Source organism: Homo sapiens, chromosome 12, assembly GCF_000001405.40.
Source record: "Homo sapiens chromosome 12, GRCh38.p14 Primary Assembly".
NCBI classification, from domain to species: domain Eukaryota; kingdom Metazoa; phylum Chordata; class Mammalia; order Primates; family Hominidae; genus Homo; species Homo sapiens.
Window position 1 is genome coordinate 77634325 of NC_000012.12, and position 17647 is coordinate 77651971.

General features: G+C 34.5%; 1 protein-coding gene across 7 annotated transcripts in view, besides 2 other annotated features; it reads left to right on the forward strand.

Annotated features, from left to right (window-relative positions):
* Positions 1 to 17647, forward strand: part of NAV3 (neuron navigator 3) — a 641149-nt gene that overhangs the window by 62463 nt on the left and 561039 nt on the right. The window lies entirely within an intron of this gene.
* Positions 10590 to 11398: an enhancer, noted in NCBI's record as "OCT4-NANOG hESC enhancer chr12:78038694-78039502 (GRCh37/hg19 assembly coordinates)". NCBI's record gives its function as "activates a minimal SCP1, AML or CMV promoter by ChIP-STARR-seq in primed H9 embryonic stem cells {active_cell/tissue: H9 hESC(primed)}" and the evidence as "EXISTENCE:reporter gene assay evidence [ECO:0000049][PMID:30033119]".
* Positions 11723 to 12285: an enhancer, noted in NCBI's record as "NANOG hESC enhancer chr12:78039827-78040389 (GRCh37/hg19 assembly coordinates)". NCBI's record gives its function as "activates a minimal SCP1, AML or CMV promoter by ChIP-STARR-seq in naive H9 embryonic stem cells {active_cell/tissue: H9 hESC(naive)}" and the evidence as "EXISTENCE:reporter gene assay evidence [ECO:0000049][PMID:30033119]".

The window sequence follows — 17647 nt, forward strand, 5'->3', positions numbered from 1 at the left end:
TTATGATTTAAGCAGTTCATCTTAATTTTTCTGCAATTATATTAGTTGATTTTACATAGAAGGTAATTTTTGATAATATTTTGAAGTAGCCTATGTAATAATTTCTTTGTTTTAAATGGTGTCATATCATAAACATTACTACAAGGGACCAACTGCAGGTTAATCTTAGTTTGGGACCACAGTCAGTTGTAAGCAAGATGGTTATAAAAAATGTTGAAAAAGAGACATTCTTCCTTTTGTAGCATCTTGCAAGAACATTTATATTTTAATATGTAAAACATGAAACTTCATAGTGTAAAATTTTAGAACAGGTGTCGCCTATTTCCATTTTGAAATTTCCTTAAAAATATATCTGTGCATATTAATGATGGGAGTTCTATGTTCTAGTCTTATGTATTAAAAAAATTCAGTGGTAATTTTTTTAATTCTTATTTTTAACAGTAATTTTTTAAAAATGTATTATCTATATGACTGATAAATTTAATAAGATGAAAGTCTAAAAGGAAAACAATGAGAAAATATATCATTTATATTTAAGGATTTATGAATAGTGAGCTTCATATTGTAACTCTAGCAAGTGTTATTTATTTATTTATTTATTTTTTAAGAAATAGGGTCTTGTGGCTGGGCCTGGTGGCTCATGCCTGTAATCCTGGCACTTTGGGATGCCAAGGTGGGCAGTTCACCTGAGGTCAGGAGTTCGAGACCAGCCTGGCCAACATGGTGAAACCCTGTCTCTACTAAGAACACAAAAACTAGCCAGGCGTAGTGATGTGTGCCTGTAAACCAGCTACCTGGGAGGCTAAGGCAGGAGAATTGCTGGAACCTGGGAGGCAGAGGCTGCAGTGAGCCAAGATCACACCATTGCACTCCACCCTTGGTGACAGAGCAAGATTCTGTCTCAAAAAAAAAAAAGAGAGAAATGTGGTCTTGCTATATTGCCTAGGTTGGCCTCATACTCCTGTGCTCAAGCAATCTCCCTATCTCAGTCTCTTGAGTAGCTGGGACTACAAACATGTGCCACAGTACCCAGCTTCTAGCAAATATTATTTGAAGGACAAATTTGCCTTCTAAAAGAAGGGAATGTTTTATGTAAGATGAGAAATGTAATAAGTTGGGTAAATATATGTAGATAAACTTTTCTCCTGAAATCTTTATATGTTTTTAAAGGTATATTCTATGTTTTGTGTCAACAGCAATATATGATTAAAATATAAAATACGGGGGATGTTTTCAGATGTCTTAAGTCTTCATAACAATGAGCTTTACTTGGAACTTCCTGATAAATTGGGACTGATTAATTTATCTGGCTTACTGAAGAGGCACCTTAAAAATTAATTAAAGAGCATTTTACTGTAAAAACTAATAATAACAGCTAACATTTATTGAGCACTTACTATGGTCTAGACTCTGCTATAAATATTATCCTTAAATTACTTCATTTAATCTTCTAAAAAAAACCGCTGTGAGGTAGGAACAATTAGAATTCCTATTTTGAAGATGAGAAAATTAAAGCTCTGTGAAACAAAATAAACTTCCCAAAGTAACAGAGTTAATATAAAGCAAGTACAATACTTGAATCTTAGTTGAATTCCAAAGTCAGCCTCTTACTCTCCATATTATAAAAAAAGTAGCAGAATTAATTTTTCTTTAAAAACATTCAACCAGTTTATAAGCATACAGGAATGACTTAATTGCTTTAATAAGTAAAGTAAATCCAAAAGAAGACATTTATGCGACCAGCAAACATATTATAAAAAGCTCATCATCACTGGTCATTAGAGAAATGCAAATCAAAACCACAATGAGATACCATCTCACGCCAGTTAGAATGGCGATCATTAAAAAGTCAGGAAACAGGCCAGGCACGGTGGCTCATGCCTGTAATCACAGCACTTTGGCAGGCCAAGGCTCCCAGGATCATGAGGTCAGGAGATCGAGACCATCCTGGCTAACATAGCAAAACCCTGGCTCTACCAAAAATACAAAAAATTAGCCAGGCGTGGTGGTGGGCGCCTGTAGTCCCAGCTACTCAGGAGGCTGAGGCAGGAGAATGACGTCTACCTGGAGGCAGAGGTTGCAGTGAGCCGAGATTGCACCACTGCACTCTGGCCTGGGCAGCAGTGCCAGACACCGTCTCAAAAAAAAAAAAAAAAAAAAGTTAGGAAACAACAGATACTGAAGAGGATGTGGAGAAATAAGAATGCTTTTACACTGTTGGTGGGAGTGTAAATTAGTTCAACCATTGTGGAAGACAGTGGGGCGATTCCTCAAGGATCTAGAACTAGAAATACCATTTGACCCAGCAATCCCATTACTGGGTATATACCCAAAGGATTATAAATCATTCTACTATAAAGACACATGGACACATATGTTTTTTGCAGCATTCACAATAGCAAAGACTTGGAACCAACCCAAATGTCCATTAATGATAGACTGGATAAAGAAAATGTGGCACATATACATAGAGTACTATGCAGCCATGAAAAAGAATGAGTTGCTGTCCTTTGCAGGGACATGGATGAGGCTGAAAACCATCATTCTCAGCAAACTAACACAAGAACAGAAAACCAAACACCGTATGTGCTCACTCATAAGTGGGAGTCAAACCATGAGAACACATGGACACAGGGAGGGGAACATCACACACTGGGGCCTGTTGGGGGGTGGGGTCTTAGGAGAGGGATAGCATTAGGAGAAATACCTAATATAGATGATGGGTTGATGGTTGCAGCAAACCACCATGGCACATGTATACCTGTGTAACAAACCTGCACATTCTACACATGTATCCCAGAACTTAAAGTATAATAAAAAAAGGAAAAATAAATAAATAAGTCTAATAAATGTTTGACTTTGGGAGATTATTAATGCTTGTGACAAAAAAAAAATGACCATAGCAATTTGCTATGGTCCACAGCAAAAAATTGACCATAGAATTTGCAAACCATCACTGAGGTGTAAAAATTATTTATGAAACTTTACTTGCAATTTTAAAGATTAAGTGTTTATTATAGTATTAGGGGAAAATATCCCCATGATCAGGAAAATTGCAGAAATTCTATACTTCTTTGTCTTCAGGGCTAAACTGAACATAATTTCTAATACTGAAACATAATATAAATGTTTCAAAGATACGTATTTTTAAAGTTATTTTTATCATATAGATATATAAGCAGCTACTATGTGCAAGTAATTGTCCTAAACACGTTATAAATATTAGCTTATTTAATCCTCATATTCACCCCATGGAGTAGGCATTATTATTATCCCCATTTTACAGAAGTGGAAATGAGGCATAAAAATTAGCTCCTATTTAAATAGCTAGCAAGTACAGCTTTTGAATTTACATCTAAGCTAATTCCAGAGTCTATGCTAAATGCTGCCTCTCACAAATATCTTCTAAATGCCTAATTTAATAGTTCAGTCAGTATTCTTATTTTAAATGTATTACATTATGTTTCATAATGTTATGTGTTCTATTAAGAAACTGATGTATGCTAGCCATAATTCCAAAGAAGGTAATTACTTTGTAAATGGTACTGTGATATGGCAGTCATGGCTTTTAAATAGTGTTTCCTTATTTGACTAGTGTCTTAGAAAATTTCTGAATTGACATTTTAATTAACAAGTCAAAGGTTCTCAACAGGCACTATTTGATGCATCATAAAGCAACCTTTGTGATGTGCTTTGATGGCATTTGCCATCTTATTTGTGCACTAGAGCATAGAACATAATGTTTCTTGTCTATAGGGATTTCTTTAGCAATTGATCATTAATTGAGAAACATAGTGTAGCTAAGTCTTATGAGGAAAATTAATGTCTTGTTCCAATTAGATGCATTAATTAAAAACTAGAATCTTTGAATAAATTTTTTCGAATTGTCAAACTTCACTTCATAATGCAGTCTCATTCTGGGAATTAGGAGGGAATGGTTACCCCTGCTTTGAAAACAAAGGACAAAATATTGGGATTTCTCTTCATAGATCTTACCACCCTGAAGAAAGATAGGCTTTGCTTTACTTCATCATTATTTTTGTTGAAGACTAGAAATTCATGCAGTGTGCTTATTGTCAGTTTACTACTTTCTCATACCTGTTCTATTCTTTACATCTCATCTGCCTTGATGCCTCATCCAGCAAAGCAGTGCTGCATCTGCTTTCTATGAGAAGTCACACTCTGATGTCTGTAGTTAAGTATGCACAGTCTTTCAGAAAATCCTACAGACTTACTGCACGAAGTGCAATTCTCTCATCTACTAAGCACCTAATCTGAATATTGGGGTGATTGGAGAATGGAGCAACTTAAGAGGATTCATATACTATTTTTGAATTTGTGACAGTTTATATAATAATTATTTTGTCATTGTACTTGAATAGATTAAAATTCTCCAAACAATAAAATCAGTAATATTTATAGTGTCATCACCATAGTGATACTGCATTGTCTGCCATGGCCAGGTCATAGATATATCATATGAATTTGTTAATTCTTTACATGAAGTCACTATTAGAATGGAACTATTTGCCTTAAATGTGCTTTCTAATGCACTTAGGAGACAATGTTTAAACATTCTGTAGGAAGGATGCAGTATTTATTTGGAACCATGGTATGTTTTTTACCTCCACTCTATTCCGCAGAGCATGGTCAAGGTTCTATTTAAAGATCATAGGGGTAATGGTGTGTATATATGGCCAAAATATTTTACACGTTGACAATTAGAGATGGGCACAGAGCATACTCATTTTGAACTACAGAGTTAGATGCAGGCAAAATGCCTGTTGAGATTATGTTTGGGGTAGCTGGACTATCTCCATTTGGATTTGGATTCCCAATAAATCTAGAATCTGTAAACAGATTTAAAAAAATTTTTTTTATCCTCATCTTGTATGTTTTAAGGACTACATGAATGTCCTTCATTCATTAACTTAGCCAACAATTTAGTCAGGTGTACTTGTCTAAGTGCTAGTGATTCAGAAATGAACAAAATAGACCCACTCTCTGCTTTTATGTAATTCATAATCTATAGTGGAACAATGAAGCAGAAACTTCATTAATTTATTGAGCACATTTTATTTTTCTCTATAGCACTCATTATGATCTGAGACATTATATACTCACTGGTTTATTTATCAGCCATCTCGTCTAACCAGAATGTAAATTGTATGAGAACAGAGATTTTTCTACTTTGTTCATTAAAATTGACGCCACTCCCATGTTAGAACAGTGGTTGGCTCATGCTGCAAAGTTGATGTGAAGGAGAATAATTAAGGTACACACATTTATTATTTGTCTTTTAAGTATGAGGGTGCTCAGTGTTGGCTATAGAAAGACAAAGGAACCACAGGCAAAGGGAAGCTGGTGTAAGAACATACAGTCTACTGAGAGGTGGTTACAGGCAATGGCAGAGACAGACATTAGGTGCCTGGAGAAGCACAAAGGAGAAATAATAACCTTGTGCTTCAAATATGAGGAATAAAGTTGCTTACACAGAAATGTGGCACATGCACAGTTGCTCTGATGGCACAGAAGAGGCAGAGACTCAAGTCTGACTGGAGGCCTAAAAAGATTTTGACAAGGAGAAACATTCAGCCTGAGCTGTCAAAAGGGGGGCACTAGTTTTAGAGAAGAGTTTAGAGCAATCTCCATGGTGTAGGGAATGACCCCAGACAAAGATACTTGTATGTTGTCTTTCTGACCATCATCCAAATTCTTAGATCCAGATCTTAGAGATTAAGGCTTGTTGATGATTCTTATATCAGACATCTCCTCTGTTATACACATGTAGTTTGTTTGTTCCCTTTAACAAAATTATGGTATTAAACTTCTAGAAAAGTAGAAGATTGTAATTGCAAAGTGTACTGTAAAAAAGAAATGATGCAGTTAGAAATCTAATCACAGAGACATACAGCAGAGAGAGAGAGGGAGAGAGAGAGTGTGTGTAAGTTGTGGTGCAACACACAGGAAGAAGCAATTTCTTGGTGAATTAAGGAAGAGTAATCATTTTGCAGAGAAGAACTAAATAAAGCAAAACTTTCTTTAAATACTCATTTAGACAAAACATAAATTGATATCTTTTCACCTACTTCTCTCCATTTCCATCCCTTCCCCATCCCTGGTAACCATCATGCTACTCTGTGTTCCTATGTATTTGACATTTTTAAAGGATTATGCATATAAGTGATATCATACAGTATTTTTCTCTCTGTATTTTTGCTTACTTAGCATAATATCTGCCAGTTTAATCCATGTTGTCCCAAATGGTAGTTCAATAAAAGAAATAAGTCTAGAATCTAAAATACAGCATGAATACATAAGTTAATAATACTGTATACTGAAAATTTGCTGAGAAAGTAGATTTTATGTGCTCTTATCACACATATAAAATGTAGCTATGAAAGGTTATAGATATGCTAACTTATTTAAATGCCTCAACCTAAAGGAAGAAGCTGAGACACAAAATATAATTTAAAAGAGTTTACTGGAGCCGAAATGAGGGCAGCTACTCTTAAGACTCACACCCAAGTAAACATGGATATGAGCTCCATGCAATTTTTGTTAAAAGCAGGTTTTTAAATGCAAAGAGAGGTATGAGAAGTGGGCTGATACAAAGTTGTTTGTCAGAAATTCTCATTGGTTTGTGGAAATGACATTGACTAGTGATTGACTATACAAGACTTTACATAGCAAGCAGCTTCTAGAGAGGATTACTTATTTCAAGGGTGGGGAGTAGGATGTGATTGCTGTCTCATTCCTATGCCTCTCTGGGCCTGATAATTTAGAGGAAGTTTACATTCCTCAGATCAAAAGTTTTTTTTCTTTCTCATTTCCCCTTTTTGATCAAAATCTTTTTTTCTCAAAAGCATTTATAGGCAAAGTCTGAGTATCAAGTTGCCACCATCTCTGGGAAGGCTCATTCTTGGATGGTCTTGTCCTATGTTGGTGGGGAGAAGGAGACATCTCAGTGAGAAATTTTAAGAGTGCCCCAAAGCCGAGTTGGGATGACATCACAGAGCGGCAGAAATAAGACCTCAGTCAAGACATTAATTTACAAGGCTACTGTTACTTGTTGAATCATCTCTAGTTTTCAGAATACTGTGATTTTAGTTTTCTCAGAAGAAGTAAAACAATGAAAGATATACAGTTTTAATAATTGAAATAGTAGAAATAAAATGTATAAAAAATTATAATAAAAAGGAATTTGTATGCTAGAACAAAAAATAACCTTTTCCATTAGGGAGCCAACTAAAAACATTATGAAGAAAATTATATCCCAGTTCTTCTTTAGAAGCTTGTAACAAAGTGGCTTCTTTTCTAATTTTTCCTGGCTTCTATTTCATGGGAAGTATTTATGAATACATAACAAGAGGTATTTTCCATTATACATACACCTCCTTCTTCAACACATATATGATCTATAGCAATGCAATTGTCTGTACAACCTTAACCAGGGAACCCACAGCTGTTTGTTGAGCTGCAGTTGAGGCAAGCTGTTTCATTAGCTATATCCTACATTTATAGGAATATTTCCAAGTATATGCTCGGGGAAAGCAACACCCAACCAAGGCAAAAGCATTCTCCCAATGAAATGCATGGAGCTATCTTGTTAGGCAGAATTACGGGCAGGCAGATACTTAGCAGGTTCCCCCAAATAGAATCTCAGTCTTAAATAGATCGGCAGCCAGGCCTAGAGAAAAATTTGAGGGAAATAGTTTAGTGTTGGATTTCTTCAGAGCTATGTATAGATAGAGGAATGACCAAATATCCTATGAGACACTGCCCTTCAGTTTAGTGTCACAAAGATTGGTCAACAGTACCTGATATGGCCCCCTTCCAATGGGGTTGGAAGGAATCTTTTATTTGATGGTGTTTCCAGTAAACAAAATCTCCAGGTTGGAAGCCATGATCTGTGATGTCTTTGTCTCCCAAGAGCTCAGTGTTTTAAAAATCTTTAATTATTATTTTTTTCATTAACAGCTTGATATGGCCTTGGCAATAATGAAGAATATTGCCTTTCAGGAGCGTTGGTTTGTAGACTCCTTCAATCAGCCACATGGGCTTTCCTGTTATTATTTTAAAGGGAGAATGCAGATGTTTCCAAAATGGGATAGAAGGTAAATTACGCAATTCTAATGGAAGAAACCTCAGCCAGGGAAGGTTAAAACTTTCTATAAGCTTTGTTAATTGATTTTTCATTACCCCTTTTGTGTGTTCCCACAGTCTGGAAGACTGAGGGTAGTATGCGCTATGGGAATGCTTAAAAATCAGTCACATATTACAAATAGATTGAATTACATGACCTGGAAATGGGTTCCTTGGTTGCTGTGCAGTTTAAAAGAAACTCCTCCAGAAGGAATAGGACAAGACATAAAATGGCAATGACTAAAGATGCAGTTGACAAAGAAATTTGATCATTTTTTTTCTTTTGTAGTTTACTCAAAAAGTGAAAAAAAGTCTTTGGTTATATCTTATTAATACTTCATGAAAATCTTACTTCAGAAAGAAAACCAAGTTTTACTCTTATACTAGTTTATTATTAATATGAAAGCTAATTTTAATAAAACCTTATAAACATATCCATCTAATCGCAATCAGCTTTGACCCAACAGGATAGGATTTTCATAAATCTTTTATAACCTCTTGTAATTTTTCCTATTATCTTTCTTTTCCAAACTTTCTATATCCATTAAGTTTCATGTCACTTTTTTCTCTTCTTTCATTTGTTCTGGACAATCTTCAAATAATCTGTAATCTAGACAAAATCACTCTTTTTCTCAACAAAAACATATTCTCATACTCTATAACCTCCTTGATAAAACATGTCTTAAATTCCTCGTATGTTCTGTATACAGAATTGTTTTACTTCTTATGTCTAGCTTTAGTCTCGTATATTAGTTAGAATTGTAACTTTTAATAACCTAAATTCATATAGAAAACCTAAGAAGCAAGCAGTGTTTAACTCTTAGTCACATACTTTATGAGTTTATAAATACATATTTTATAAATTTTAGAAATGAAAGCTTTCTAATGGAACAATTTTTCAATGTGGAGCAGGACATATTTACTAACAGATCTAAATATCTTTTGTTTCTCTGAAATAAGAAGCTAAAAGTATATAAACTTAAACTCATATTTAGTAATTACTGTCTTAGCATCATATCTTATTTGGAAATGACTTAGATGTTCAATGAATATCATTCATTTAAATTAGTTTAGCAAAATTCTAATGGTATAGTTACCAAAAGATTTGGGAAACCTTATTTGCCAAAACAAAGATTTGAGAAACCTTTAAAGTAGACATATTATAAAATCTAATTATTAAAAGTTCATTTATAAATTTTTATCCTATTTACATTTACTTAATTTATTCATTCTTAACAATTATATTTGGAAAATTTCATGAGTTATTAGATAAACTTAACCATTGTCCCAAGTTACATTTCCTATTAATCATTTTTATGTTATTGCATATTAGGCAAGTATCATAAAAGCAAGAACCTTAAATTTAAATACATGTGTATTTTGCTAATAACTCAGATACATAGTTGTTTTTATTAAATCAGCAATATTAAACTAGTCTTCCTTGCCAAAAGATTTATTCAAGTCACATGAACTTGAAAAATATTTGAGCTTACTTATTACTTTTATGAGCACTAATTTATCTTTAAGTTAATTTGGTACCATGTAGACAATACATAAACACATGTGTAGACATATGCATACATATAGAGACAACATATACACATGTAGGCATGTATTCATCTAAAAGCTGGAGATCAAGGGGTTCAATGTAAAAGAAAGTAGAACTTTAGACCTGAGAGGCACCTGTCCACCCACAATTCTTGGGGCTCCATGAGGTCGAACAGAGGTCCCCCCAAAAAAGAGGAAAGTCTGTGGAACCTTTTCTGTTTTCTTTAAGAGGTTCCCGAGATGTTAGAAGATTTCTTTATGTCCCCTCATGTGGTATCTAAGGTGGCAAGAGGAAGGAGGGACAGATAGAAGTAAATGAAACAACAAGTCTTGGAGAAGCCTGTTTGAGATTTTGTCTTCTGAAAAACCAATAAAGTTTTACATTATTCTTGGTAAAAATCATATCCAGAGGAGGAGCAAACAGAAGGAGTGCACAGAATTATCAGGGGCTTAAGAAGAAAGGAATTCCTAGTAGACTGAGAAGCTTCCATAGAACAGAGGCCTCAAAAATATATATGTACATACACAGCCTAAATGTCAGCTTTTAATTGTTGACTTTTGACGATAAAGCTCTTAAAAAATATTTTTTTATCAGGTTTTAACTGGGCAAATAACAAGCATTACTGTGTCTTGGCTTTTCCTGTCTGAAATTTACACCAAGAAGGAATTTTTGACGTGGGGCATGTTTGTTTATTAGAGGTCTATGGTAATCATTGTTTAAAGCCATTTGTCTCTAAAATTTTTCTTTTAATAAACTGGGTCCTTTCTTTCTGAGTATACGGATTTATTTAGCTTAGAAGAGTAGGCTAAACAAACAAAGCAACAAAAAAGTTTCTATCACATTCTAAATATAAACCAAAATTTTAAGTCAAAGGCATACCTGAATAAATGACTAAAAACCAGCACAAGTAAGCATATATAATACCAAAACGATTAAGTTCGTTATGGCTTTACCCAAGGTCTCTAAAAAGGGAGCAAAAATTTGCAGTGCTTGCAAGATCCTGACCCCTCCCAAAAACAGCTTAAAAAAAGGGAAAGTTTTGTTCACTACAAGTTGGGTGAAACCCACGTCTGTTAGGCCATGTTTTCTGGGATCTCAGCTTCTCAGCTGGCCATCTACCCACAAAGGCCAGATGGAAGATTAAAAGAGATGGTAAAACAGCAAAATAAAAGCTGCTGATGGGGGTAGGAAGGGTTACAAAAGGTTGAGAGTCACACAAATAATTCAAAATGAATAATTTAAATCTTATGATTTTTTTTTTCTTCTGAGCTAAAGGTATCCATTGAGAAATGGAATTTTGTGGTAGGTCCAAATAACTTTAACTCTGTTTCAAATTATACCTCAGCTGGAATTCTGCTTAGTTAATTCCCTGGATGTTACTACTTCAAAGACAGTGTAAGAGGGTGAGATTTACATCTCTAAGGGACTGAAAAAGACCTGGGGAAGCCTTTAAGTCAAGTAGGCAGTTTGAGCATTTAAGGGCTTTCTTGGGGAATTCATGGAGAGCTCTCTCTCTCTAAAAAAAAAAAAAAAAAAAAAAAACTTTCAAATCTCTAATTTTCAGGTATTAGCCAGGACAAACAGAAAGCAGTCCTCCCATCCCATTATGTTCTAAACCTGCTTTTTCTATTTCTGTTTGCAAATATATTAATTTTGGAATTTCAAAAGACCCTTATTCTTGGTTATTGCATTTTGTGGTCATATCAAGTAATGTCTCATTTACCTAGGTTATTTGCAAGACGGAAGCTCCATAGGTGTTATACATAAAACCAGCTAATGTTTCCAAGAGAGGGTTGTACCTTAAGGGAAAGCTCAGTTTTGAGGAGGAGTTTCTCATAAATTTTAGAATTTCCTTTTCAAAAAGTGACCAAGGCTAGGACACTGTATCAGGCAAAGTGATGCTTTGTGGGCATGTTGGAGTAACATTTTAGGAGTGGAATTGAGGGGTGACCTTAGGATTACTAGATTTTATCAAACTAATCTCCAAAATGGTTTTGCCCTATATGTATTTAAATTTATTTTGTATTTACTTAAGGTATACAACATGGTGTTTTGATACGAGCTTCATGGACAAACGTCTTGGCATTGCTGGATAGTCTCTAGTCACTTACAGCATCTGAATGGGCCAGAGGGAGCAAATGCCTCTTAATTTCAGAATGAGAGAACTCACTCTCATTCATCTTTCTGTTTGAAACTAACAAGAATTGGTCACTAATTAAAAGACAAGTCCAAATTAAAAGCAATAGGAAGCAGCTGCAATTTCTAAAGCACGCTATATAATTTTAGGTGAAAAGAGTGAAACCTGTGGTGCTTTACTGCCAGCACTGTAATCCAGCCTTCCTGCTGTGAGACAGAGGCAGAGAAAGCGGAAGTTTTCTGTTGAGCCCTTTGTGTGACTGTGACCCAAACCTCCTGTCCTGAAGCAGAGGTGAAGAAGGCGTTCTTCTCTCTCTCTTTCTTTCCCTTAAACCCAAATCTCCTGCAGGTAGGCAGAGACAGACACCTCTGTTCTATAAAGGGAGGATTGGAAAGAAGAGCTTGAACAAAGTCTAGGCCTTACCAAAAAGTAGAAAGGTCCAAATTCAGGTAGACTTGCCCCTTACACTCGACAATACTCTCAGAGGTGGAAGAACACCAAGGGTTTGGTTGTCCAGGTGCGAGTCTGGGAGGAGTGCAAGATGTTGGGGTTGGGGGTGTGCAGGATAGGAGGGTCACTTTGAAGCCTGCTCAACTGTAGTAATCATTTCACTATGTATATCAAAAGATCATGTTGTATACCTTAAATAAATACAATAAAAATAAATTTAAAATGTGTATGTAAATGGCAAAATCATTTTGGAGATTAATTTGGAAAAACCCAGTAATCTTGAAGTGGCCCATCAATTCCACTTCTAAGTACTAGTTTGAACCATCCGAGCTTGCTGATACTTGACTTTTACAGTTTTCGTTTTTGACCTATAAAAATGGCAGTTTCAAAAGGTTTAAAATATATATACATGGACATACACACACACATATATACATGGTGTATGTGTGAACATATATATATACACACACACACACACACACGTATATGTACCTTAGAGAGATTTGTCGATGTGTACAAAAGGTAACGACGGTAGCAGCAAAACTTTGGAAATATCTCAGTGCCATTAATAAGAGAATGGATGAATAAGTTATGACATATTTATGCAATGAAAATAGTCAAAAAGCTAAGCATGTAACTTATTTACAGTTAGAAAAACATAGAGGAGTAACATTTCTTGGTAAAAGGAGAGCAATTCCCCATGTAATAGAAAGACTTTAAACGCCTTAGCTGGTACACCAAATTACATTTTATCTTGTTTCTGCATCAGCTAAAATCCCAATCATCTCAAGTAATTCATCTTCTGAAACAGCTCTGTGCTACAACCAGCTGCAGATTTGTAGCATGCTTTTTTTTTGTTTTGTTTTTGTTTTTTTTTGCCCAAACTAGATGAATTTTTTTTTAATTTCAGAAATTTGAGATTAGGACTTGAGATATTATGTCTATTTTAGCCTCCTTGTATCATTCTAGAAACACTTGAAAAGACCAGTGAACAAAATCAAGTCACTGTTTAGTGCTGTTTTGATCATATTCTACTTCATATAAAATAAAGTGATTTATTAACATTTTACAGTTAGTACTGTTGTTATGCTATATCAACTCTCTCTAATGTATGGAACAATGTATTATAGATGTACCATTTTTTCCCATTGACACTACTCCTATATTATGTTTTACTGTGTTACCTCAGAAAAATAAAGCCTGCCACTCAGGAAATTACTTGATTTTAAAGCACAGATCTACCATTCCTATAACATATAAAATAAAAATGTGGTTTTCTGTACTTTAATTTGCAGTGTACATCTCTACTTCTCCTTAAACAGATGGGAAAATTCAATAATATTACATTTTGGGCCCTTCAGACCAAGGAAGAACCTGGCAGCAGTTCAAAAATAATGACACAACAAAGAGAAGAAAACAGGTTCTGATACTTCCCTGATGTTGGACTCCCTATCAATGGCCAAACAGATTTTGGTCTGTTTGAAAAATCATGCCTATTTGGAAAGTCATGCAAAATAAAATTGAATATTTCAACTTTGTCCAGTAAAAGTAAAGGCCTCGTTTCAAAAAAATTTCTTTAGGGGAGTATAAGAGCCAAGAACCTGCTGGAATTTATTGTCAAACAGTCTGATCCTGAATTGTGCTATAATTCTGCTATAGTTAGAGACCTGATCTTTATTATCTTTTCAGAAGCACACATACTCGTACACACACACAGAGACACCCTTAATTTTGCTTAATTAGTTGGGCTCTTGGTTGGAGACTTTAAGTCATGTATGGTGTTTTATGTCAAAAATATCAAAGGTAGTTAACATTGCACACCAGTAGTTTAATAGCAGTATTTATATCTCTCAAATTACAGAGTCTTAGAATAAATTACTGACTGGTTATTAAATGGTACTAGTTGAACCAGGGCCAAACTGATTATTCAAGTATTTCTGCTTCCTGCTTATGGCACAACACTCAGTGGAAGAGCTATCCTGAACTCCATATTGCTCATTCAGTTATGAAGGAAACTACGAAGATATCTGTAACCAGTGGGTCCTCTAATATCTGCCATTGTAAAAAGTTGGTGACAATTTATTTTATTTGCTTGACTTTTGCCTCATGTGAAAGAGTAGGGCTCAAGAGGTCTTTTAAGATTGTTTTTAATGGTAATTTCTATGATTTCAGCATCCTGAATTTTCTCCTTTTGCCAGAAGATTTCACTGGTCAGGGTGCCTATTGAGTAAATATGGGATTTCTTCTGGAGCTGATTAGAAATGCTCTGATTGTAACATGTATTGTTTCTGACATAATTCATTCTTCTGGCAAGTCATAGAGTGAGTCATTGGGAAATAGGACAGTATGAGGAAGGTGGTCCAGATAGAATCAGTCTTAGGAGATCTGCTGTAATCATAGATTATTCTCAGTAGCTGGGCTTCTTCAGTGTTCTATTTTTAATTTCCTAAATAAAATGTTATAATATAGTTGGAATATAAACTATATTCTTGGACTTTGTTTAAGCCAACAGCTTTACAGAGAGACCACACTGCTCACAGATGGACCCAGATTAGAAATGAAATATTCATTCACTTATTCAACCAATGAATATTTCTTGAGCTTCTACTATATGGTAGACATACCGCTAAGCATTGAGGATAATTTACTGAGTATTACATAGGTGGTCATTTGATCTGCGGCTGTTCACAGTCTTATAGTATTTGCGTATTTCTATTTCTATATAGATTTTTAGTAATAAGAGAGGTAATTGGTTAAATGTAAACCCTGTATGGTAATACATCATACACTATATTATTTTTTATTCCATTCGTTCCATTGGTATTTCAAGTCTTAATTTATCTTGTTTAATTAAAAGGCATAAATTAGCACATCATGCTGTTTGCATCTAATTATACAGCTGAGTTCTTGGATTATCTTTGATTCTAAAAGTACAACTCAACATACTAATAAGAAGAGTAAATCAGAAATAGAAAGATAGTCTTTAAATTTTAAAATAAAAGAATGAAATTCATGTTTACTGTAACATTATTGTGACCTTCATATTTTAATCTTATTTAAAACTGATTTTGTAATAATAGACTAAATTTGAGCAGTTAGTCTTGACAAATATAAGATCATTTTGCCTGTATCACTTCCTTTCTGCTATATTTTTTATGACAAAAGATTTTGAAATATGCCTTTGAAAGTAAATGATTTAATCGATTTTTTTAAGTGACAATCTCTACTTTTGTTTATACTTTGCAATAGTTTTATTTTCTTTACCAAGAAGACCTTGAGTTGCTATTTTATTTTGGTTAGGGTTCCTTCATGAATCATTTAGCCAGAATAAGCTGAAACAGCAATCTTTTTGTTCACATACAGTGAGATATGTTGTCTCATTTCAGTGGTATGGCCCCGGTGTCCTTTCTCCCTGTGTTCTTTTTGTCTTAAGTTTGCCTTCCCTAGATTTGACCCATGTCATACCTTCTATTGCTCCCTCCTGTTTTAGATTAGTATTTCCTAAGTGCCTCCGAGGTGCCAGGCTTTGTGCTGGCTTCTTCAGATGTAGCCATAAAGCAGTCAGTTGGATTCCCATGAAACTTGTAATAAAAATGTTCCTTACGCAAATAATCACACACAGAGTAGTTTAATTTCTTGTTTTAATATCTTTAAAGAAGAAGCATGGGATGTTTTTGAGAGGTGCAATCGGGGAAGTTAACCCTCTACTGTGGAGGAGAGGGTGAATCAAGAAAGTCTTCCCTAAAGATCAGTATTTAAGCCGAATCTTGGTAAATAGTTGGAGAGACCAACAACCAACCTGAGAAAAATCTCTGATTGCCACTTCTCTGCTGTCATGAGGTAGTTTCATTTGATGTTGAGTTTCAAGGAGGTACAGTTGGAAGCTTTGATTTTAAATATATTTAATTAGCCCAATGCAGGATTTTAAAAGATTTAAATGTAAAAATCTGATGCAGAAAAGAATATTTTACATGTATTATGAACCATTATACTATTTCTATATGTGCTTGACTTTAGTTATTTAGTGTGGTTTATTACTTCAATTTAAAAACTATGTATATTATAAAATTCATTTTTGTAAATAGATTTTTGTTTCATGGATGTTATAAACCTGAAAGTGTCTTGGAGCCTGATATCAGTTGCATGTAAACATTAGTTAATGACTTAAATTTCCTTTTTATGGTATTGTCTAAAACAGACTTATGAAGATCATAGAGAAAGTCTTATTAATATCTATTATTAGTTCAGTGACAGACTTAATAAAAATGAAGATACTGATAATGATAGGAACAGCTTCAAAGCTCTCTACCTTGCTTTTAAGACATTGATCTGATTGAGCACGGAGGATAAAAATTCCATTTTTTATAAATATATAGTAACTATTTTAAATCTAGGTAAATTAATCCTTATAATGACTCAGTTATTAAAACTGGCTGGTCAGTATTTTAAACTCATCAAAGTACAACTATATCGCACATTGCTGATACATCATCATGAAAAATGTGTGAGACTATACCTTTCTTTTGACTCAGGTTAATTATAAAAAAAAAATTCTACTTTTCAGTCTAGCTGCTTGCATAATTGCTTTTTTGGCAAACATTACTTCATCAATTCCTTAGAAAATTTTGGCCTTTAAAACCCAAGAGAACATCCTACCCTGTTTATACTGACTTTAAAAAGATTGAAGTAACATTTCAAATGCTTTTTCTCTGTGAGCCCTTAATCCTTTCAGACTTATTCTGACTGATCTATTCTTGTGTTTTATCCATTTTGTTGTTGATTTAGCTTGTTACTCCCCAAATATTTTCCCGTGCCTTTTTTTTCTTCAACAGCTCTTACTGCTTATATGAATGATGATTGGAATAGATCATTTAATAGCCACAGGGATATTGAAATACTTTAAGTCAAAACAAAACAAAACCTCTTAAACCTTGTATGTTATTGGTACAGTGCTTGCCTCTGCCCTTAACTGCCTGAGACCATGTTTGTGAGGCTGCTTCATCAGAAAGCCAATGATCTTTCCATATTTTAAGGTTTCATGGGCTAGAATTGGAATTTTAGCCAAGCTGGTGGTTATTATTTTTTAGTCTACGTCAGTTGTATACAACAGAGTAAAATGTGACCATTCATGGAAAAATTAAATTTACTAACTCATGTCATTAAATTGGTAACTCATGTAATAGAAGTACAGCTGAAGATCCAGGCTTTAGAAAAGAAAGAGTCAGAGGTGCTGGGCTGGGTGTAGCAACAACTGGTGTCCTGGGCTTGCGAATCTAATTTCAGAGAAAATCTGGTCAGCTTGTGTTTGGTCAATTCTCCAACTGTGTCTAGGGAAAGGAAGGGTACTAGTGGGAAAAGCGGAGCTT